At 55.9% G+C, this 22,205-nt stretch overlaps 2 protein-coding genes across 52 annotated transcripts in view, besides 2 other annotated features; one reads left to right on the forward strand and one right to left on the reverse strand.

Moving 5' to 3' along the window:
• C3orf18 (chromosome 3 open reading frame 18) lies at positions 1 to 16,676 on the reverse strand. Of its 17 annotated transcripts, none has more exons than XM_011533784.3 (6): positions 12,879 to 13,003; positions 7,982 to 8,070; positions 7,430 to 7,837; positions 3,698 to 3,723; positions 2,893 to 3,040; positions 1 to 1,713 (listed from the first exon to the last, which is right to left on the reverse strand). In XM_011533784.3, exons 3-6 carry the CDS (start codon positions 7,673 to 7,675, stop codon positions 1,633 to 1,635), a joined length of 501 nt encoding a protein of 166 aa, XP_011532086.1. In that variant the 5' UTR covers positions 7,676 to 7,837; positions 7,982 to 8,070; positions 12,879 to 13,003; the 3' UTR covers positions 1 to 1,632. The 17 variants fall into 17 exon arrangements, with proteins under 17 accessions (XP_011532086.1, XP_011532092.1, NP_057294.2 ...); XM_011533790.2 differs by lacking the exon at positions 12,879 to 13,003 and adding an exon at positions 9,439 to 9,723 and having other exon boundaries at positions 7,502 to 7,837; NM_016210.5 differs by lacking the exon at positions 12,879 to 13,003 and adding an exon at positions 9,439 to 9,723 and having other exon boundaries at positions 7,442 to 7,837.
• Positions 9,355 to 9,864: a silencer, noted in NCBI's record as "silent region_14398". NCBI's record gives its function as "represses an Ori minimal core promoter by ATAC-STARR-seq in GM12878 lymphoblastoid cells {active_cell/tissue: GM12878}" and the evidence as "EXISTENCE:reporter gene assay evidence [ECO:0000049][PMID:35858748]".
• Positions 11,156 to 22,205, forward strand: part of HEMK1 (HemK methyltransferase 1, mitochondrial release factors N(5)-glutamine) — a 26,987-nt gene continuing 15,937 nt past the window's right edge. For 8 of the 35 annotated variants that reach the window (XR_007095692.1, XR_940453.3, XR_940454.3 and 5 more), the window contains exons 1-10: positions 11,498 to 11,550; positions 12,907 to 13,308; positions 13,686 to 13,777; positions 14,091 to 14,184; positions 19,028 to 19,162; positions 19,485 to 19,549; positions 19,802 to 19,851; positions 20,797 to 20,902; positions 21,820 to 21,915; positions 22,092 to 22,205. Coding sequence is in view for 31 of the 35 variants with exons in the window: in NM_016173.5 (NP_057257.1) it covers positions 13,081 to 13,308; positions 13,686 to 13,777; positions 14,091 to 14,184; positions 19,028 to 19,162; positions 19,485 to 19,549; positions 19,802 to 19,851; positions 20,797 to 20,902; positions 21,820 to 21,915; positions 22,092 to 22,205 (980 nt within the window). In the remaining 4 variants the exon portion in view is untranslated. Of the gene's footprint in view, positions 11,250 to 11,497; positions 12,778 to 12,906; positions 13,309 to 13,685; positions 13,778 to 14,052; positions 14,185 to 19,027; positions 19,163 to 19,484; positions 19,550 to 19,801; positions 19,852 to 20,796; positions 20,903 to 21,819; positions 21,916 to 22,091 lie in introns of those variants that run through there. The other 27 variants (NM_001377421.1, XM_047448279.1, XM_047448283.1 and 24 more) reach the window with 20 other exon arrangements.
• Positions 11,303 to 11,422: an enhancer, noted in NCBI's record as "active region_19907". NCBI's record gives its function as "activates an Ori minimal core promoter by ATAC-STARR-seq in GM12878 lymphoblastoid cells {active_cell/tissue: GM12878}" and the evidence as "EXISTENCE:reporter gene assay evidence [ECO:0000049][PMID:35858748]".

The raw sequence follows: 22,205 nt of genomic DNA on the forward strand, positions 1-22,205 counted from the left end.
TCCATGTAAACATCTTCATTACATCTTTAATGCTCTCACGTGGAGCTGCTCTGGGTTAAATTACAGCTGTATGCATCCTGAATTCCTGGCAGCCTCCAGTCGACTCAAGTGCTAACGTATTTATAGCATTTAGAGGAGGGAATAAATCCAGAACCTTCCCCATGGGGGCTTCCTAGGCCTTTCCCTCCTGACACATGGCATTTGCCCAGTGGAAGGTCTGCATACACTACCCCTGCATCCCCTCCAGCCAGCAGCGGACAGTGACGGTGGAGAGGCTGGGCACGGGACATGCCTCTGTGCATGCTTGTGTGCATATGTATGCCCAGCGTAAAAAAATGCCCTGCTCTTGTGGTCTGTCTCTGCCCAATGGCTTGCCAGGACCCCTGGTATCAGCCCTGACCCTCCAAGGCTTATGGAGAGGCCAAGTGCAGGGACCCATCTCCCCACTCTCTAAACACTGAACGGCTCTTCCCATAGATGGGATGGAGGTGGGGAATTCAAACATAGACTAAGTTTTTTAGATGTTTTTCTGAAGTGCAATCCCTCACCCACTTTCAGGCAGTCATAACTGCCCCCTCTAGCCTGCAGCCTGTGATTACTGCCCTCAGACCAACAGCCTCTCCCAACCCCAGATCCTCATTAGAGCCCAAGACAGGGAGCCGTTTTCAGAAGCAGGTGAGCCCAGTGAAACAATGCAGTGGAGAGAGGAACCGTGCTGTGCGTGCTTCCCTCTTCCCTGCAGTCCCTGAAGATTGAAGGCAGAGAAGATAGCCTACCCTGATGCTCCACTACATACCATGGGGTAGAGGTCGACTTGGAGGGTGGGGCCAGTGTGGACAATCTCATTCTGCCCGCTGTGCTGGGACAGGCACATGTCTGCCCATGGGCACACTCATGCACATGCATGAGGCCTCTCGGCAGGTCTGGGGGGGCTGCATCCTTCCACTTCCATTCCCCTACTTCCTTCCCCCTCAGCTCCCATCCTAGCTTGGCCCCAGTAACATCTGGTTGCCAAGGATGGGTGGCTGGGAGACCTCCTGGACCCTCCGTAGTATGGATGGACCCTGGGTGTGAATTGCCCTTCTCCTGGCATCCTTGCATACTGGACAGTTTCAGCTCCATCTCTGGGCTTCTCAGGGCCCATAACAGATGCTGCCCTACCCTGTCCCTATAACTTGGGTGGTTTCCTCTCCCCACCCCAGAGGAGGCTCCAGATTCCAAAAAACAGGTCTCTCCCTAACAGAGGGAAACCTCCCCTTTCCTCCCCCAATCCCTCCCACTCCGTATCTCCCTCATTTCCTCCACATTAGCGGGGCAGACCCTGATGTGAGGGATCTGGACAGGGGATGAGGAAGCCAGCAGAGGCTCTTGACCTTCTCAGCATGAGGGATGCCCTCTGTGCCAGGGCCCTCAGGTCAGGAGAAGTCAGTGGTCAGAAGTCCAGCCTGGCTAGGGCCCTCTCTTAGAGTCTAAAGTCAGCAGGTGGGTCTGGAGAACAGCTAGGACCTGGCTCAGCCCTCTTGTGTCTTGGCAGGGAAGATCTTCAGAGTAGGTCTTGACAATCAGGGAGTGGGGAGCTCTGTAGGCACCGTGATGGGTCTCTATCAGAAGTCCAGGCTTGTCCCAGGCCACTCACGCATGGATGGCATTGGCCACATCGGTAAACACCAGCCGGCTGGGTCTCTGCAGTGGGCCCTGGGAGGGCAGAGTAGTCTGCAGGAAGACAGGCAGGGGCATCAGAGACCATGGGCAAGGCCATGCACTCACTGGCCTGGTCACCTCCACCCTCACTTCCTGGTGCCTGCTTATGCTTGGCACTAGCAATGGCTTCTGCCTGGAATGCCCTCCCTGCAAGCTCAGCCTACAAATATGACTTGGCTCAGATGACTCCTCCCCAGCTTGCCCTGTCACCTTGGAGGCACTTACTGTGTTGATTTAATTATGCATGCACTGCCTTTTCCCAGTGGGGGATCAGAGGGCTGGACTCTGTATCCCCAGGCCCTAGCACAGGGGCTGGTACAAGGAGGAACATGGGAAACAAGTATCAAGTGGCCAGAAGTCCCAGTGGCTGGGTGGACCAAGGTTCTCAGTGCGAGTTCCTGAATATCCCAAGGGGGCAATATATCTTGACCCAGGTGATGCAGAGCTGGTGGCAAAACCAAAGGGTCTTCAGACTTCCAGCCTGGATTCTTTCTGAGCCCAAGAAGACGCAAAGAGGCTGGATAAGTCAGGGGCAGGCCAGGCCTGCTCATGGTGCTCTGGCCCTTGGGGATTTGGGGAAATGGTGGCAAGTGGTCAGGCAGCCCAGTGGTTACAACAGGATGGCCACACAGGTACCTATCCCTTTGGACACAGGAGGCAAGTTTGGCTGAGATCTTCACATGCCTGGGTCTGTCAGCCACTGGGAATCCACCAGCCTACTCAGAGGTACCGCTGTCCAAGAGTCTAACCCCATCCACAACCCACTCAGGACCACGGACCCTCAGGAAGCAGAGGAACCTGGGGTCCTAGCCGCCAACAGTCTCTCCCATTAGTCCTTTCCTACTTTCCTAACCAGTACGTGGGGGCACATGGGGCAAGAATTAGGATTTTCAATTGTGGAAGAGAACACTGAGGCTCAGAGATGCCAGTGGGGCTCCCAAGATCAGCAGGCTATGGGGCAGAGCCAGGCTGTATCCCAGGACTGCCTTGGCCTGGCCTTGCGCTGTGAGTTTGTGGGTGGCCCCAGAGCAATATGACCACTTTCTGAACAAATCTGGAAAAAGCCGTATACCCAATACCTGCCATCTGACCACAAGGCAGGTGCTAGAAAGCTGCATGAGAAAGGAGGGAGGGTGAGGGTGGAGGACAGAGGATGCTGCAGGCGGGGTGGGGAGCCTGGTCAGTGCCCACCTTGCCCTGCATGGCCTGCACAGAAGTAGCAGCCTGTACAGAGGCGGCGTCCCGCCCATGCTCCAGCAGCTCCTGCTCCAACTCATCTTGTTCCTCCGTGGGGTCGAAGTTGTACATGGGCATGAGCTGGTGGCGTAGCTTCTCCAGCCTGGGGATGGGGGCAAAGGCTGCTGGGGACAGGGCAGGCCCTTCCCCTCCCAGCAGCCCTCCAGGCCCTGCCTCCTGACTAGCTGAGCCACAGCACACAACCATGCTTAGGGCCTTAAGGTTTCCCTTGAAATGGGAAAAAATGACAGACATTTTTGCACCTATAGTACCAGCTCAACCCCTTAAATGGGTAGCCAGGGAGGCAGCAGTTACCCACTCCAGGGTAAGGCCATACGCCAAGTAGCTGTCATCCATGGGCCCCACAGAGATCACCTAGGCTAGGGCCTTGCTGTAATCCACAGCGTCTGAGTCTCAGGTGGGACTGGGGAGCCAGTAGCAGTCAGCTCAGAGCAGCAGGGCAAGGGTGGCTGGGCAGTTGGGTGGGAGTAATCCCAGCCTTCCCCCTCCCTGCCATCCCCAGTCCCAGGATTATACCCAGTTATCTAGAATCCTCACACCTGCCTGCCCTGTGTGTGAGATCCTTGTGCAAGGGGGGCCCTCAACCCTCCCCAAAGGAAAGTGGTCACCCCCAACCATGAATGGGCAGGACAGGCCTTGACTCCCTGATCAGCTTTTCACCCACTTCCTTCGGAGCCCAGCCCAGCACTCCCCATGGCCTCAAGTTTTGGGTGGGATTTGGGTTTGGGTGGGGAATTACCTCTTCTTCTTCCTGATGTACAAAACCTGCAAGAGAAGGAGCAGCATCAAATGGCAAGGAGAGGAGGCCCTGAGGAACCCAGCAGCCCTTCTGGATGGGGACATGCTGAGGCTGATGAACAAGAGACCCGTGGGTCCCCGTCCTAATGACACATACACCACTCCCCCTTCACCTTCATGCCTCTTTTTTTTTTTTTGAGACAGAGTCTTGCTCTGTCACCCAGGCTGGAGTGCAGTGGCACAATCTCGGCTCACTGCAACCTTCGCCTCCAAGGTTCAAGTGATTCTCCTGCCTAAGCCTCCTGAGTAGCTAGGATTACAGGTGTGCACCACCACACCCGGCTAATTTTTGTATTTTTAGTAGAGATGGGGTTTTACCATGTTGGCCAGGCTGGTCTTGAACTCCTGACCTTGTGATCCACCCGCCTCGGCCTCCCAAAGTGCTGGGATTACAGGCGTGAGCCACCACACTGGCCCCATGCCTCCTTTTGACATTGTTAGCTGCAGACAGTGCCCAGACTGAGTCTGGGGACTCAAGAGGCTCCCTCCAGCCTGGGAGCCCACACAGTTAGGCCCGGCCTGGGGACTGGTGGGCCCCACCTATTGGCTGGGCTGCCAATACTAACTGTAGCTCCAGCCACTCAGCACCTGCCTGTGGCTCCCCAGGGCTGAAGAAGAAAGGGAAAACTTCAGCACATTCCCTCCCCTCAACTCTTCCCAGGCTCAAAGCCACATGCAGGCAAAAAGTAAAGGGACCCGGTAAGGTAGCACATGCCTGTAGTCCCAGTTACTCAAGAGGCTGAGGCAGGAGGATCTCTTGAGCCCAGGAGTTCAAGTCCAGCCTGGGCAACATACTGACACCCCGTCTCTACAACATGTAAAAAGAACCAGAGACAGGCAGTGGCCAGACTCTGTAGCGTGTAGAGCAGTGGCTCTAGGCAAGGCCCTGAGCTGGTGGTCTCCGGAGTTCCTATGGGAGGCTGACGGCCCCCAGTGGACTAAGGTAGGGGTGGGGGACTGGAGCCCCTAGGCATCAGCCCAGGTCAACTCCCAAAAACTCTGATGCAAGAGGAACCTAAGAAGGCCCCTAGGTCCGGTCCCCCATTGTACAACCTTGAAGATGAGGGCCTAGGCAGCCTGAGAAAACATCTAGGACCTCTAGGCCAGAGTAAGAAACCCTGTACAATGCCCTGAGGAGAGGGAGGAAGTGGGTAAGACTTGGGGGACCACCTTGGGCGGGGAATCCAGGGACTTCTGCCATCATCCTGCTCTTCCCTAAACTGGCAGTTTCTGACTACCAGGAGCATGACTACCTCTGCCTCGGGGAAAGCACAGCCCTGTGGTTTACCCCAAATCCTCCCACATTCTTTGTGCCCCATTCACAGCTTGAATCTGGTTTGATTTCCAGCCTGGCCCAGAGCTCCTCCTGCAGGACCCCCAAAACCTGAAAAGAAACTAGGGTATCAATCCTCACTCTCCCCTCCTGTCCAGGGTTGCATGTAGGGGTGCTCCCTTGCTCTCCTGTGGGTAGGCTGTGACAGGAACTCTGGGGTCTTCTGGCCTAGCCCCTGCCACCCTGAGCAAGTGGATCCAGCCCCAGCCCCAGCCCCTGTGGTCCCCACCTCTCAGCCCTTGCCCCAAGCCCTCCTCCCTCCCCTGAGACCCTGGGATTCAGAAGGATCTACAGAAAAGGCCAGAACCTTTACGCAATTTCCATGCCTTTTCCCCTCTTCCTCAGCTAACAGCCACCCCCACACCTTCCTTTCCAAATCTTCCCTACCCCTCACTGTCCAGCAGGTGCAGCCCCCTCTCCTCCAGGAACCTCCCCCACCACTGATCCTGGTCTGCCTGTACCAAGCACTTTTCCTTCCTGGGTAAGGCAGAAAGCCTGGTGCAGATTTGCTCCTCCTTGTACCCACGGCCCTGCTTGAGGCTGGCATCGGGGAGAGGAAGCAGCACTCAGTGAGCACCTCTGGGCCTGTCTCCGGTCCCCAGGAGCTATCTTCTGCCCTCCGCTGCCTTTGTCCTACGAGCTTCCTACCTCTGATTTTGGCAAGAGGGGCATCCACCCAGGCCTTCTGAATGTTCCTCTAGAACAAAGAGTAAGAGAGCGTTCTCAAGTTCCAAGGACAAAACCTTTCACTGAAAGTAACGAGGGCAGTTTCTAGGCCCCATTCTGCCCTTAAGGGTGCCTCCATCTGCTTACCCACTGCATGGGTGCCAAGGGAAAACACTGGCATCCTGCCTTACCTCCACCCAGGAGACCTCTCAGGCCCTGGCCTCATTCTGCCTGTGCTGCACCCTGGGCCTGCTTGCTGGCTGGCAGTTGCTCCCTGGCAGCAATCTGGAGCCTGTGGGGCCCATATGGCAACCCTGGTTTAACAGCAGCTCCAACCAGGCCATGATGGGCCATCCACAGCCCTACTTGTCAGAGCAACATGCTCCTAAGCCCAAGGCCAGCCATCAGAGCCTGCGAGGAGCAGTGGGCAGAATCCTACCATTGCCAGGCATACTGGGGAACCTCAGGGGCACCCCATCCTCCCTAGTCTCAGCCTGCACGATCTCCAGTGGTCCCTCAGTGACATTCTGAGTGTCCATGTATCATCTTAGGGGGACAGCCCATATCCTTAGGGACTGACACCAGATCAAGAGGCATCACACTCACTACTGAAGGATACCTGCAGCCCTCTCCCCAGCCCCCTTCCTTCCTGATGGCTGCCACCTCCACCCCTTCTCATGACACGGAGGCCAGGCTTCCACTTTGAGGTCTCAGCTCTAATTTTGCTCCTCAGCTGTTCCTAACCACCTAGTCTGGAAAGCATTCCTGCTTTCCTGCTTGAGTCCCCAAGTCAGTCCCTGCAGGCTTCCCTTGGAACCCTTGGTTTTTATCTGTTTCCCACTCCCTGTAAGAACCACAGGGCAGGACCTTGTCTTCCCAGCCTCTATTGGGTTCCAAAGGCCTGGTCCAGGGCAGGTACTCAGTAAATAATTGCCAAGTGAATAAATGAATGTTCACTGCCAACAGCCTCCCATGCACAGATCATCTTACCCAGACTCTGCAGCCCACGGTCCACATCAACCACCTTTAAGCCTTTTCTTCTATTGCAACCCCACATCCACTGCCCTAACTGTCCTGCTGGCTGCTCACAGAACCCTCTGTCTGCCTCCAAACTTTTGCCCATCAGGACTCTCCACTTGGAACTCCTTGACTACTATGTGGCCTTCATGACCCAGCTCAAGACACCATGTATTCCCAAGAACCTTTTCTGTTGTTTCCAGTTGGAAGCGTAGCCTCTCTGGTCTCTGGGCCCCAGTGGACAAATCTCTGCAGGAGAGGAGGACTGCACTCTCATTAATAGATTGTTGGCGGGCACAGAGGCTCATGTCTGTAATCCCAGCACTTTGGGAGGCCAACGGGGGCAGATCACTTGAGGCCAGGAGTTCAAGACCAGCCTGGCTAACATAGCGAAACCCCATCTCTACTAAAAATACAAAAATTAGCCGGGCGTGGCAGCTCACACCTGTAATCCCAGCTACTTGGGAGGCTGAGGCAGGAGACTCGATTAAGCCCCAGAGGTGGAGGTTGCAGTGAGCTGAGATCAAGCCATTGCACTCCAGCCTGCATGACAGAGCAAGACTCTGTCTCAAAAACAACAATAACAACAACCAGATTGTCTTCTGATTGATTAGGTTCTCTATAAATCTAAACACTGATTATCCTCCCCCAGCCTACCCCAGCTCTCACCAAGGCCACAGCCAGGCCTATCACCGTGATGATCCCAAAGGACAGAAGCATGGTACCCACGCCGGCCGTGCCACCAGCTGCATCAGGGATTCTGGTGTCATTAAAGGTGGTGGCCTCTGGGCTGAGGGTAGTGGTCTCGGAGGCTGGCCCATCTGTGGCAGGTTCCAGGTCAGACTCAGAGGTGGGTGGGCGGCTGCTGAACCAGCCCCTAGCAGATGCGGTCCTGGAGTTCATGCTGATGCGGAGAGGGCCCTGGCTGAGAGGCTGCCTGATGCCAGTCAACCTGCCCACTCACTCCTGACTCCGGAGTGCCCCAGCCTGTGGTTCCTGCCACCTGTGGTGGCCACCTGCACAGCCACCTCCTTGGATAAAGGGAGCCCCCTGCCTTCCTGGGTGCTAGAAAGGAAAGAATAAGAAACATGAGGCTAAGGACAGGGGCTCAGTAGTGAGATGAAGTCTCTCTAGGTTCTGAAAGCACTGGGGAGGTAAAGGTTTGAGGGCAAGAATGAGGGTAAGTTCAGGAGACATTAGGACACATACTTTACGTATCTACGGTGCCCCTGTTTTTGGGAACAAAAATGAAGCCCTGCATCCTCTGTCTGTGGGTGAGATGATCATAGTGATCAAACCTGGAAGATATGAAAGGCAGCGGGGATGTTTGAAAGAAAAAGTCTCCCTCCCCTGATCAAAAACTCCCCTCAACCTGCGTCCCCATATCCCCCACCTCCCCATATCCACCTCCTCATTCCCTGCCTCCCACATCCCTCATCCTGCTTGGGGGAAAAAATACCACAGCTTTTTCCTTTCCTGGAGGGAAACACTTGCCCAAGAGTCAGACAGGCCTGTCTTTGAAACCTAGCTCAGCTGCTTAACTAGTGATCCCTAGAAAGTCACTCCACCTCTCTGTGTCTCCGTTTTCCTGAGTCTAAGGTGGGGATATTGAGAACATCCCCACAGGGTCATGGGGTTACAGAAATGGCAGAACAAACAGGTGTCGAAGAAAGACTTAGCTCAGCACAACCCCCATCCACAGTAAGCATCCACTACATGTTAGATTTTCTCCCCATGGCCAACCCAGTCACAAAGGGGAGCCAAGGGAGCCCCTGGACCCAGTCCACTGTATGGTCCAGACTATGCTTGGAGTGTGGGTGGAGGCTGATGTGGAAAGACCAGAAGACAAGAAGGAGAGAGAGGCTCTGGTTCTCTGGCGGGGCTTCTCCGCAGGCTCTCGGGGACATTGGACTGCCCTCCCCACCCACCAACAATAGAGGGGCTGCTAGGGTCAAGGAGAAAGGCGAGGCAGGAATGGAGCTCCCAGTGTGGGTGCCTTCTCTTCCTTTACCCTCCTCCCCTGGAAGCAGAGGGTGAGAGATTTGCCCAGTGCAGAGGGCCCTGGTTAAGGTGGGGTGGGAAGAGGTGCCAGCCAAGCTGCAGATGGGACGGCCTAGGGAGAGGAGGGATACCTAGCTCGTGGGTGCATACATCCCCCTGTGCTGGTTCATGGGCATTAGTGGGGTTGCCTCCCTGTGCAGATGCATGGGCGTGTGTGAGATGTGTAAACACCTCTGATGGTCCCTGAGGAAGGGGCAAGGCTGGCAGAGGGTTATGGGGTAGAAAGGCTCATCCCTCTTTGCCTTCTCCCTCCAGCTAGGCTGGGCACATCTGGGCACATAGGAAGTCCCGGGTTCTTTTCTTGGCTTTGCAACTGATCCCGGGCGTGACCTTGGGCCAAACCCTTAACTCGTGCCCTGGGGCTCTGTTAACATCGCCTCCCAAAGGAGAGAAGAGGCCCTACTGACCACTTTCCAGGCCTGCCTCAGGGTCCAAAGGGGAAGGGAAGGAAACCGGGGTAAAAGGGGTCGGCACCGCGACCTTCGAGAACCCGCATGCTGTTCTCCACCAGGTCTCTCAGTCCTCCCTGCCCCAATCCCCATGCCCGCCTCCGCGACCCTGTGATGCCTCCCTTCTTGCACAGGAGCAGTGACCTCAGCACTTACTTAATCCTCTCCCGGCGCCGAGCTCAGTTGGAGAGGCTAGGGGTGGTAGTGACTGGCAGGAGGCCGGGGCGGGGGGAACCCCCAAGCCCGGCGTCTGGGGCTGCGGGTCCGACCCGAGATCCGCCCTCCCTGCAAGCCCCGAGCCGCTGGCCAGGCCCGCTACTGCGCACCAGCCGCATCCGCGAGCGCTGGCTCTGCCGGCCTGAGCTAGGGTGGGTAGGGCCGGGACCCACGGCGGAGGTGGGGCCGGGCCGAGCAGCCTCGGGGGATCCCCGAAGCTACAGCGCCTTGCCTCCCTGCACGCTCCGCGCCCCCGGCCTCCGATTGGCTGTCGGGCCTAGAGCCCGCCCAGAATTGGACCGTTCGCTTGTCGCTCGGGTCTGGCTCCACCCCCAGAGGGAGCCTAGAACCTGGTCGCAGTTTTTAGAGACTACCCTCACCCCGTGGCCTGCGCCGAAGTTGGGCGGAGGACAGTGGGTGGCCAGGCCCTTCCGGGCCAGAACTCGGGACCCCTGCCAGCTACCCGTGCCAGGACAGACTCAAGCCCCCAAAACGCGGATGGATGTACAGAGGAGACTTGGGGAGAGCACTGGACTGGGAGTCCTTGGGCCTGCACTGAACTCTGGCTGACTTTGTGACCTTGAAGAAACTGCTTTTCCCTTCCTGAACCTTGGCTTTCTACTCAGACGGGTCCTCTGGTGTGAGGGTTCTAGACGAAGATGGGGAATCTTCGTCTACAGAAGTTGAGAGTGGGGTGGATTTATTATTGGGCACCCCGACCCAGGCAAGTCTACATATACCCTCACAATAGCTTCCATCCACGGCATGATCAGCTCAGGGAAGGAGCCCTCAGATACTCCTGATCCGCCGGTTTTCAAAGTAGTTTATGGGAGTCACCGGGTAGCCTGGTACAAATGCAAACGCCCCTGTGTCTCCCGGTCTGGGAAGGAGGCAGGGAAACAGCATGTTTAATAGCAGTTTAAGGCCGGGCGTGGTGGCTCACTCCTGTAATCCCAGCACTTTGAGAGGCCGAGGCGATGGATCACCTGAAGTCAGGAGTTCGAGACCAGCCTGACCAACATGGTGAAACCCTGTCTCTATTAAAAATACAGAATTAGCCGGTCGTGTTGGCTCACGCCTGTAATCCCAGCTACTTGGGAGGCTGAGGCAGGAGAATGGCTTGAACCCGGAGGCCGAGGTTGCAGTGAGCAGAGATCGCGCCATTGTACTTCAGCCTGCGCAACAAGAGCAAAACTCCGTCTCAAAAAAAAAAAAAAAAAAAAAGAAAAAAAGAAAAAAAAAGTAGTTAACAGTGTTCTAGTTAACAGTACTTTCTGGTGGGGAGATGTTGACAAGACACACTTTGCGAGACGCTGCCGAGTATTTTATAGAAGGCGCAACTGAGGTCCAGAGGTCCCAACACCTGGAGGAGTTGCCAATAGAGTCAAGATTCGAATCGGTAAAAGAGCGGCCCCTGGGGTCTGGCCGCCAGTCGGCCGACCCCCTGGTGGGCTCGGGCCACTGACCTCGGTAGGGTCACGACACTGGGACTGGACCCCAAAGTTGGACCAGCCTTCAACACTGGAACCCGCCCATGCACAGCTCCACCCGGCCCCCAGGCTAAGATAGACCACGCCCCCGGACATCTGGTCCCCGCCGGAACACCCGGGCCCTCTGGTGACACGCCCCCTTTCCGGCAGGCTACTGGGCTCCGCCCACACACCTCCCGGCCTGGTTCCTAAACGCCAGCTCGGAGCAATCCCCTTGGGCTGGAGCCAAATCCCTGCTGTGATTTTAAGGAAGACCGGCAGGTCCGGGCCCCCAAGGGTCAACCCCACACACATCCCCGCACTTTCCTGTATGCAGGCCTGCGAGCGTAGAGGGAGTGGAATTCACAGCCTCCCCACCCATCCGCAGGGGTCTCCTGGGAGGAACCCACCAGCGATAGGAACACTGAAGCTGGGCTACGGCGTCCGCCCGAGCCTTTTCTTAAAGGCGCCGACCCCGGAAGCGGGGCGTCCGAGGGAGCGCGCGACGGGCCACGCACGTCCGGGCGTCCAGTTCGGGGCAGCTTCTCCGGCTGGTGGGTGGGTGGGGCAGCCTTTCAGGCAGGTATGCATGGGAGGTGGGGATCGGAACGGGGTGTTTCGACTGCAACCGCCTGGAGACCTGGCCGGTACCATTCTCCATAGTGCAGATGGGGAAACAGGGTTGGAGAGAGGGGGCCTCATCTGGGTCGTTAACAATGCGGTGCGTAGCTGTGAGGGAGTTTACACTTCTGACTTCGGGCCTTGGCTCCTGGGACGGCGCACTGGTGCAAGAGCCGCTTCTGGAGTCTGGTGGACTCGGGTTCGTGTCTTGCCTGGGACAGTCTTTTTTTTCTTTTTTTTGAGACGGAGTCTCTCTCTGGCACCCAGGCTGGAGTGCAGTGGCATGACCGCGGCTCGCTGCAACTTCCGCCTGCTTGAACTGGGTTCAAGCAGTTCTCCTGCCTCAGCCTCCCAAGTAGCTGGGACTACAGGTGCGCGTCAGTATGCCCGGCCAATTTTTTGTATTTTTAGTAGAGACAGGGTTTCACCATGCTGGCCAGGCTGGTCTCGAACTCCTGACCTCGTGATCCGCCCACCTCGGCCTCCCAGAGTGCTGGGATTACAGGCGTGAGCCACCGTGCCCAGCTTGCCTGGGACAGTTTCTACCTGAGTGACGCTGGGCAAGTCGCTTCCCTTCTCTGACCCTACTTGTATCTGAAGATGTGGCACTTAGCAGGTGCTTAATAAACGCTAGTTTGGACTTTTATCTGGAAGCAAAGGGGACCGCTGATTTTAAACCTTCAGTTAAACTTGCTTGTGACCTCTTTAAATATACAATTGTAAATTTTTTAGTTGGTGGTTTACGCTGATGTCCCGGATTATAGGTTAAATTAGGAGGAAATTTTCAGCATGTACATCCATGACAGTACACACACAATGTCAGATTCAAAGCTCCCAATTAAAGGCAATCATCTGCCTCTTGTAACATCAGTTAAGATCATGTAACATCTGGTCCCTGCTGTGTGTTGAGCTGCCTCCCAGGCCTTGGATATTCATAGACTAATGCATTGCTTGCCATGGGTTTGGTGTGATTTTCCCCCATCTTATGGATTAAGAAAGTGAAAATCAGAAATAATGACTTGCTCAAGATCACACACGCTAGGTTAGACACAGATCTGTCCTGTCCCCACATATGTGCCCTAACCTACCACCAACCCGTTTATTAGCAGAGACTGAGCTATGGGCTCAGCCCACTCCAGCTAAAAATGTGAAGAAAACGTAAGTGGCCAAGACAAGAATGATCAAATAGGTGGGTAAGGCTCTAAATGGAGTCAAGGGGGTGTCAGAGCAAGAGCACAACTATTCTCAGGCAATGTATTGGTAGAAGGGGGGGTGTCATACAAGGCTCACCTGCTTTCCTGGTTCCTCTCACTCCCAGGGTGGCAACCAACTATATCTGAGGACCAGAGCCATTTTGGGGCACCAGAGCTTGTGACCTCTCCATCTCCACCCAGCTGGGTCCAGGGGCCACTCTCAGCACTCACCTCAGCAGCTGACATCATAAAGCAGACTTGGGAACCTGGAAGCACTCTGGAGAACCTTTCCCTGAGACATGGAGCTTTGGGGCCGAATGCTGTGGGCCCTCCTGTCTGGCCCAGGGAGGAGGGGAAGTACCCGGGGCTGGGCCTTCAGCTCATGGCAACCCCAACCACCTCTGGCTGGGTTATCCAGTGCCATAGAACTGGTCAGCCACTGGACTGGGGTCTTTGAGAAGAGGGGTATCCCTGAGGCCCGGGAATCCAGTGAGTACATCGTGGCTCATGTCCTTGGAGCCAAAACAGTTAAGTTTAGTGTTGTCAAGAGGACAGGAAGAGGGAGGAGGGAGGACTTGGGGAAGGGATATCCAGGTTTTCTGTTCACTAAGAGTGCTTAGCTGAGACTGATGGGATTTTTCTGAAGGAACGTCTTAGCGCCTGGCACACACTGTAACAGTTTGTTGGATGAATGAATATATCTCTGCCTAAGTGTTCTGGGATAGACACCTGGAAGCCTGGTGTTAGCTGTGTAACCTTAGGCAGGATGCTGCCCCCTCTGGGCCCAGATGATGAGAGGGTTGGGCCTCCAGACCAGTGCTGGGCAGGCATTATCCACATAAGACACCTGGGTTGGGGGCCTTGGGCCCAGTGAGCCAGCCACTTATATTCTCTGTGGGGACAGTTTCAGAGCCTGAGGCCGGCACTTTGGACCCAGCCCTTGACCTCTCAGCAACTACAGTGTATCCGGGAGCTGAGTAGCCGTCGATTGCAGAGGTGAGCACCCATGGATCAGACCTGAAGGATGTGTTCAGGGAGCAGCAGTCCAGCCTCCCCTATCCCCACCAAGTTCAGGGAGGAGGAGAATGTCCAAGGACTAGGGAGGTGTTGGGGTGCAGGAGTGGCAAGAGTGGGGCCGGGGTACTGAATAGGAAGAAGGGAGGGAGGGAGGGTTTTGCCTCAGGAGTCCCAAGGCCCTGGAGACATGGTCTTGCCTGATACCTTTGGCCACAAGTGGTATCTCAACCCAGGCATGGTCCTGTTGGTCCTAGCTCTGTCCCTGATGACCACCCAGCTGCCCCCTCTGCAGGATGCCGGTGCAGTACATCCTTGGAGAGTGGGACTTCCAGGGGCTCAGCCTAAGGATGGTGCCCCCAGTGTTTATTCCTCGGCCAGAAACAGAGGTAGGTGTGCCACCAGGGCAAGGCAGGATCAGGATGATGGTGGAGTTCAGGGCACCAGTCTTACCCCAGGCTTCCTCCAGGGGGCACTGGGGCCCCATGACTTCAGGGACAGTGCCTTTCTAGACATGTATTTCCTCTCTGACTGTGTTGGCAGAGCCCAGAGGACAGAGGATTCCTGTTGGTCCCCTTGACTGTTATGTTCCAAGCTATCAACCCAGCCTCTAGGTCTGGCAATGGCCCAGAGTGCCTCAAATAGTGCTGCCCAAGTACTTAGCCTGTTCTGCCATTTCTCTGGGAGCCATCCCATGGCTCACCCAACCCACAGGGAACAAATGTCTTCCAGCAGCTTCTCAGGAGGCATGGAGGAAGTGGAGAGGGCTCCAGCCGGACACCTGGAGACCTGGTATCAGCTGTGCAACCTTGGGCAGGTCACTGCCCTCCTGCCATCTCTGGGCCCAGATGATGAGAGGGTTAGCCCTCCAGCCCAGAGAATCTGGTGGCCCTCTTAGGTCTACTGACTGGTCTGGTAATCACCTGTGTTGTCCCTCAAATTACTAGGACTAGGGATGTGTGGCGCAAGTGTGTTATCCCTTGGTAAGGCACCCTGGTCCTGGAAGAGACGCTTTATATGGCCCTTCTTGGACTCCCCTCTGACCTTGTAGATGACAGAGCTGGGAGCCAGAGGGCGCAGACCAGGGAGTAGAGCTGGGTGAGAGCTGGTGGGCAAGCCAGAGGGCGCCAGGTTCTGAGAAGGAGTGTTTCTAGAAAGACCTAGGCACACAAACATTTCTGGGAAAGGTTAGTTCCCATTCCCCTGCTGTGGCCAGGGGGCCCCAAACCCTTCTTTCACTTTCTCAGCTTCTGTCCCCTAGCCAAGAAACTCTCTGACCCCTCTCCTCTCCATATCATGTGGTTGGGAGGCCAGGTCCTTGCTTCACTGCCCAGTGTCAGGGCAGGGACAGTAGGGAATCTGAGGCCTTGCTGAAGTCACAGGGCTGTCAAGGAAGGGAGCATGGGGGCAGCACGTGGACTTCCTGACTCCCAGCTCAGAGCCCCATCCCTCACATGGGGCTGCCCCATCTGGGATTGGCATGACCTAGGACACAGTATGGAGACCCAGAGCAGGGTGTGGCCTGCCACCTGCAGACTTTGGGAGGCTTACCTGTGGCTCCTGAAAACACGTGATCTCTGGCGAAGAGATCATTTGCTGTCTCCGGCTTCCCAGGGTCAGGGCATGGTGACTTTTGAGTTCCTTCAGAGCTGACCTGGCACCAGCCATATGTGCCAGGGTTCTGAGTATCAAGTGTGGACTTTGGCTCCCATGTGGCCCCCTGATTCTTGGATGGGTCTGGGCCAAGAGAGCAGCTCTACTGCAAGGGGTGGGGTGAGGGGAGATGCTGCGATTGGGAGGCCAGGTGCTCATCTTGCTGTGCAGACATTTCTGAGAACTCACCAGGTTCACCCCAATGTAAAGCCACATCGGGGGATGCCTTACCAAGAACTCAAGAGGACGTGGCCTGTGGCAGGGAGTAGTGAGAATGGGTGCAGGGGATGGTTTCTGATGAAAGGGGAGTCTGAAGTGCAAACTTGCAGGAGGCATGTGCCCAGTGAGTTGCATTTTCCCTAAGGGTGAGAAGGTGGTTCAGCCCCTGGCCTGGCAGTGAATACAGTAGGAAACTCAGGGCTGGGGGTGTGAACCATTCTCACCCAGCCTGCTGTGAGGCTGTACAGGTTGTGGGAGGCTCAGTGTTTTGTCTGTGATTGGCTTGAAGGAGGCAATGCCACCTCCCTGGGTCTGCCCCACCAGGGATGCCATCCTAATAGAGGGTACTCATGGGCACTTAGGTTCTGCCCAGGCCTTGGGCCAGCCTCTTGATGGGGTATGGAGTCCATGTTGGGGCAGCAGTTCTAGGCAGAGCCAACAACTGCCTGCCCCTCACCTCTTTCCCGCATGCGTCTGTGCCCCACCCTGTTCTTGGATTCTTACCATATTCACCTGGAGGGGGTGCCCTGAGCCTGTGACCAGCATGGCTTTTAGTCTTGCCGAAAGAGCCACCAGCGTTAGGCTGAGGGAGGCTCTTCACTAGGAGGAGAAGAGAAAGTTTCTGGACTCCTTGGGCTGTTATCTACCCCTGCCCCAGGTGGCTCTACAACCAAGATGAGTTTCCGGTGCTCTGGAGTGTTATGGCAAACAAGAGGCCACTAGTGGTGGCAGGGGCTCAGTTTCTTAGCTTCTTACCCTCCCCAAGGTGGCCATCCACATACGTGGTGTGTGTCTTTGAGGTCTTTGAGTATCTCTGTGAGGTGGCTGGCCAGTGTGGCTGGCTGAGGGGTCATTCTCCAGCCAGAGTAGGTCTGTCTATGACCAGGAAACCAAGAGAGGCTTACACACCTGACAACAACTGGTCACCCTACCAACCTCTCAGCTTGTGGCCTCACCACTGAGACCACAGGCTCTCAGCCACAGCCCTATACTGCTCACTCTGTACCTGGCCCAACCTTGCAGGCTAAGCTTGCCACAAGTACCTTAGTGGTCTCCAGTAGTGCCTGGCACAGGGCTGGTGAGAGCTAGTGAATACACACTCTCTCCTGCTGGAACTGGGCCCCCTCACCCACAGGCAATCATTTGTTAGGTGCAGAAGAGGCTTGGAACATGGAGGGTTGGACCTGCTGGCCAAGTTCTGCCTGCTTTGGACTTGCCACCCTCAGGGTGGGTGAACATTGTTGCTGGGTTTGGGGGCCTGGAAGGGTGAGATGCTTTTTGGAACCCAGCACTGGGGAACTTATGTGGAAAATGGGTGTGAGTGATCTGGAGCCCTCTGCTCCATTGGGCCTGGCTGATGGCATTGGGGTGTGGGGGAGACCTGGGGGTGTGAGACTCAGAGGGTGGTGCCACAGAGAGCTTGCCCATCACTTAGAAAGTAGCCAAGAGGGCCAGGCGCTGTGGCTTACACCTGTAATCCCAGCACTTTGGGAGGCTGAGGCGGGTAGATCACCTGAGGTCGGGAGTTCGAGACCAGCCTGACCAACGTGGAGAAACCCTGTCTCTACTAAAAATACAAAATTAGCCAGGCACAATGGTGCATGCCTGTAATCCCAGCTACTTGGGAAGGCTGAGACAGGCGAATCGCTTGAACTTGGGAGGCGGAGGTTGCGGTGAGCCAAGATCGCGCCATTGTACTCCAGCCTGGGCAACAGAGCGAAACTCTGTCTCAAAAAAAAAAAGAAAAGAAAAGAAAAAAAGAAAGTAGCCAAGAGGTTTGTCTGTGGGCCAAGCCCTGCCAGTGTGGGACACACTGCGATGAGTCAGACCTCAGGTCTTCCTATTATGGCGTCTGGTGGGAGAGGCACACCCCATCCTTAGGCTAGACCTTAGGCTCAGGGTGGAGAAAGCCGTGGTAGAGCCTGGCCCAGGCTTGAGGAAGGCTTTCTGGAATAGGTAGTCCTCTTTTCAGATCAGGGAAGCACCCACTTGCTGCCCACCATCCCCAGCTCCCTGAGCCAGTCTTTCCTGAGACCTGGGGTCCCAGGAGTCCTGACCCTCTGGGGGGCTTCTCTGCCCACATCCAAAGGGATGCCTTTGAGAAGGAGCTACACTGCCCTTTCCTTGTCTCATGCCTGGCTACTCAGGTGTCCCACTCCACTGCTGGTTAGAAAAATTTTGGCCATTGGACGGCAGGAGCCTTCCACCCTTTACCCCTACCCTATGTTGGTTTACAGGCATAGTCCTTGCAGGCAGTGGCTGGGTAGGCAAGGCTTGAAACCCTCTTGTTTCCAAAGTGACAGTGTCTGAAAATGTCCTCCTGCTGCCAGGGCAGGTACAGTGCAGTCAGGCACCTCCCTCTGCACCCATGCCTGTTGACCTATGCCTGTGTATGCCACAGCCCTCAGGTCCTTAGTCAGGACCATGTCCCCCCATGGCCCATCTCCTCCAAAAGAGGGAATTCCCTGTCCCTTTGGCCTAGGAGCCTCCCTGGGGGCCTCTCAAGCCCAGCTCTGTGAGGAGGCTGGGGACACACCAGCTCCTGATTCTTGGCCACCATGAAACCACAGGCCAGGCTCAGGTGGGGCCTTGACCCCAGGCCTCAGTTTCCTCATGGGACACTTGTGAGGATTTAACAGATTAATACAGGAAAAACTCTGGGAGCAGGGTCAGGCCAGAGGGAGTGGACAGGAACTATCAGGTATGGTTCTTAGCTTTTTTCTTTTGAGATGGAGTGTTGCTCTGTCTCCCAGGCTGGAGTGCAGTGGCGCGATCCTGATCCACTGCAACCTCTACCTCCCGGGCTCAAGCAATTCTCCCTCTCACCTCAGCCTTCTGAGTAGCTGGGACTAGAGACATCCGCCACCATGCCCATGCCTGGCAAATTTTCACACCTTTAGCAGAGACGGGGTTTCACCATGTTGGCCAGGCTGGTCTCAAACTCCAAACTCAAGTGATCTGTCCACCTTAGCCTCACAAAGTGTTGGGATTACAGGCATGAGCCACCGTGCCCAGCCAGTTCTTAGCATTTCTGTAAGCACAGAATGGGAGGATGTCTGTAAAGGGCTTAGCTGGGGTTGATTGAACACTTAACATGAAACAGGTGTGGATTAGTGCATTTAATCCCCACCACATCCCCACGAGGTGGGCTATCCTCAACTGGGCTCAGATGTACAGATGGGGAAGCTGAGGCCTGGAGGGGCAGGGTGACTTGGCCATGCCCCAGCTGACATGAAGGTCAGTCTGGCTTTGGCTACCTCCCCTTCCTACGTTCACAAGGGTAACTGCTTAGGCCTCTGTACCAAGACCCCCAGGAGCCACGTTGGCACCGACTCTGATCCAGATCCCTCTGCTTCACAGGAACTGGTTGAGTGGGTGCTGGAAGAGGTGGCCCAGAGGTCCCATGCTGTGGGATCCCCAGGCAGCCCCCTCATTCTGGAGGTGGGCTGCGGATCAGGAGCCATCTCCCTCAGCCTGCTGAGCCAGCTCCCCCAGGTGAGCCCCTCCACCCACTCTGGATAGACTGTGACTGACACTCACTGTCCCTCCCATTAGTGCTTCCCCCACATCCCTCTGCTAGGAGCGCTTGAGGGGAAGCAGCTGGATGAGGGAGGACAGGGCTGCCCCTAGCCCACTGTGGTTCACAGACTCTAACGCCTACCACATCTATCTGGCTAGACTTTGGCCAAGAAGAAAAGGCTGTTGGGTATTTCCCTTCTCTTCTGGTGGGGGGTTGGAGGAGGGTCCCCCAGGCCCAGTATCTTCCAGCATCTCTCAGCATTGCCTTCCACATATCCTCTGTTTGTTCTTGGGACAGAGCCGAGTCATTGCTGTGGATAAGCGGGAAGCTGCTATCTCTCTGACCCATGAGAATGCTCAGAGGTAGGTGGGGGAGTTGCACTTTGGGGCCTAATCTTGACTCCTTTTCAGGTTTCAAACTCACCAATGTCTGATTTCTACTCCCAAGAAGGAGGAAGCAGTGGGGTAGCCTGGCATGGGTCCCATGGGGTTCTGAATGGGTAGTGGGCAGTGAGTATCTTGCCAGTCCAAGAAGGGTTGACTATAAGACCTCATTCTTGTAGTGAAGGGTAGGGGTCTGCCCCCGTGCCTACCCCTTTCTCCCTGTCTGTGTAGGCTTCGGTTGCAGGACAGGATTTGGATCATCCACCTCGACATGACCTCAGGTACCCTCCCCTGCATGTTCCTTGAGAGAGGGAGACTAGATGCAGGTGCTGCTGGGTGGATGAGGCACTCCGTGGAGATGGAGGGAGAGCTCCCCCAACAGCCACACAGCCACACACAACACACACACATACACGTGTGTGTGTGCACGTTTGTGGCAGCTCAAACGAAGCCTTGGCTGAGGACAGACAAGGTGCTTTTGCCTCCTAGGCTGACCTGACCCATAAGGGACCAGCCACAGAGAACTTCCGAATTCCTCACAACCAATGAGTTAAGGGCTTGCTTGTTGGCAACAGATAAGCAAAAGCTTAAAATAATGCCTTCAGGACCAAAATACTTGAGTGCCCCTTTCCCCCTGCCTGGCAGGGGAAGTGGTCCAGGCACTGCACAGCTCAGCTATAGCCTTTACAGTGTCTCCAGGCCTCCAACTCCAGTTCTGGCTCCATTGCCTTACCCGTGGGATCCTTGAGCCTCAGTGCCCCCTCCATGGAATGTGATATACTTGGTGTAGCACCTGGCACAGGGTGAAACCAGTAGTCAGAGCCATCAGGAATTGGCTGATGAGGCCAGGCCTACCCTCCATGTACTCTCAGTCCATGTTGGCTATAAGGCTAGTGGAGCTACAGAAGAGAAAGGCTCTTTTCTGCCTAGGCAATCAGGGAGGACGCCCTGGAAGTGGCACTTGAACAGAGTCTTGCATAATAAGGAGGATTTTTGGCAAGGACACTCTATGCCTTGAAATGAGGGGCTGCCATGTTAAAGCATGCACATTCCCCACCAGGCTGCCAGCTGGGGACCCTGGGCACTAATTTGCAGGTCTGGCTTATCAGATCCAGAGGCAGGCCCAAGGTGTGGCATGGTGAGAGGGACATGGTGGCAGGTGGAGCTATCATCCTTTACCTCCCAATGGGTTAGTCCCTACTGTGTGTCCTCTTCTTTGACGACAGAAAGGAGCTGGACACACCTGCCCTGGGGCCCCATGGACCTGATTGTCAGCAACCCTCCCTACGTCTTCCACCAGGACATGGAGCAGCTGGCCCCTGAGATCCGCAGGTGCTAAGCAGGGTGGGCCAGGGAGGCCAGGCCTGAAAAGGCCTGATGGGATTAGTCTGCCCTCGAGGACCACACCATCTGGAGGGACAGGGGAGTTGGTGCTGAAATGGGCAATGGTGTTAAGTTGACGCACTCGAGAGCCCACAGTCCTACCTAGATTCAGCTTCTACCTTCCTACTTCCTTACTTCCTACTAAAACTACTGGACAGCCACCGAACCTCTCTGGACCTGTTTCCTGCCTCTAGAAAAAGAGAGGTAGTGCTCTGCAGGGCCACGGGAGGACTCAGTGACGACTTGAAAGCATCAAACACAGTGGAGGGCTCATACAGGGTGCTCAGTAGATGGGCGCATCATTTTATAGAATACTGAGGCCCAGAGAGGGAAGGTGTCTTGTCTGTGGTCGCATGGGGGCTCAGTGGGAAAGCCGGGACTAAAAGCTGGCCCCAGGCTAGCTTTGTGCCAGGCCATCCTGCTCTTACACAGGGGCTGAGAACCAGGGGCAGCCCAGGAGTCCTGGATGGGGCAGCAGTCATGTTGGATGGGGCTGGGGTGTTGGCTCTCCCTTTCTGGGCTCTCAGGAGTGGTCAGGGCTAGCCCCAGATCTCCCAGACCAAGAAGAGGAGCAGCCTGTGGGGAGACACTCATGCCCTGACATGAGTCAGTGCATCAAGAGAGGCCATCAGCCAGTGGGATTCAGCAAGCATGCCTGGCGCTGCCTGGTAGGGTGCTGCCCATGGGAGGAAGAGAAGAGGAGCTGCCACCCATTTGGGGCCCTCCTTCTCTGGGTCCTCAGATTTGCCCTTCAGCCCAGAGTGTAAGTTCCACAGGGCCCCATTCATGGAGGCCTTGCCCATGCCCTCCATGCATTTCAGATACCCCTTTCTCAGGCTGTCACCTCCCACTGCTTTGCCTTTCAGCTATGAAGACCCCGCGGCCCTGGATGGTGGGGAGGAGGGCATGGACATCATTACCCACATTCTGGCCTTGGCACCCCGGCTCCTGAAAGACTCTGGGTATGAATGGGATGGGTCTCCTAGGTCTGTCCCCAGCAGGCTCCTCTGCTCCTAATGTGTACTGGGCAGGCCCTGGCAGAGGTCAGCACAGGACCCTCACCTCGCCAGCCCAAGCAGCCCAGAAGGGCAGGCGCCAGACCTGTCCTGCTGAGCCCACCCATTTCTCCCCCATGTAGTAGTATCTTCTTAGAAGTGGACCCAAGGCACCCGGAGCTTGTCAGCAGCTGGCTTCAGAGCCGGCCTGACCTGTACCTTAATCTTGTGGCTGTGCGCAGGGACTTCTGTGGGAG

This window comes from Homo sapiens, chromosome 3 (genome assembly GCF_000001405.40).
Source record: "Homo sapiens chromosome 3, GRCh38.p14 Primary Assembly".
Taxonomy (NCBI): Eukaryota; Metazoa; Chordata; class Mammalia; order Primates; family Hominidae; genus Homo; species Homo sapiens.

Coding starts and splice junctions, on each gene's coding strand:
- C3orf18 (XM_011533781.3), bottom strand. CDS start 15,802: ATGCAACTCACTGGGCACATGCCTCCTGCAAGTTTGCACTTCAGACTC. Junction 3,724..15,346: donor CGTGTTTTCAGGAGCCACAG/GTAAGCCTCCCA, acceptor CTTCTCTTGCAG/GTTTTGTACATCAGGAAGAA. Junction 1,714..2,892: donor TGCAGGCCATGCAGGGCAAG/GTGGGCACTGAC, acceptor GTCTTCCTGCAG/ACTACTCTGCCCTCCCAGGG.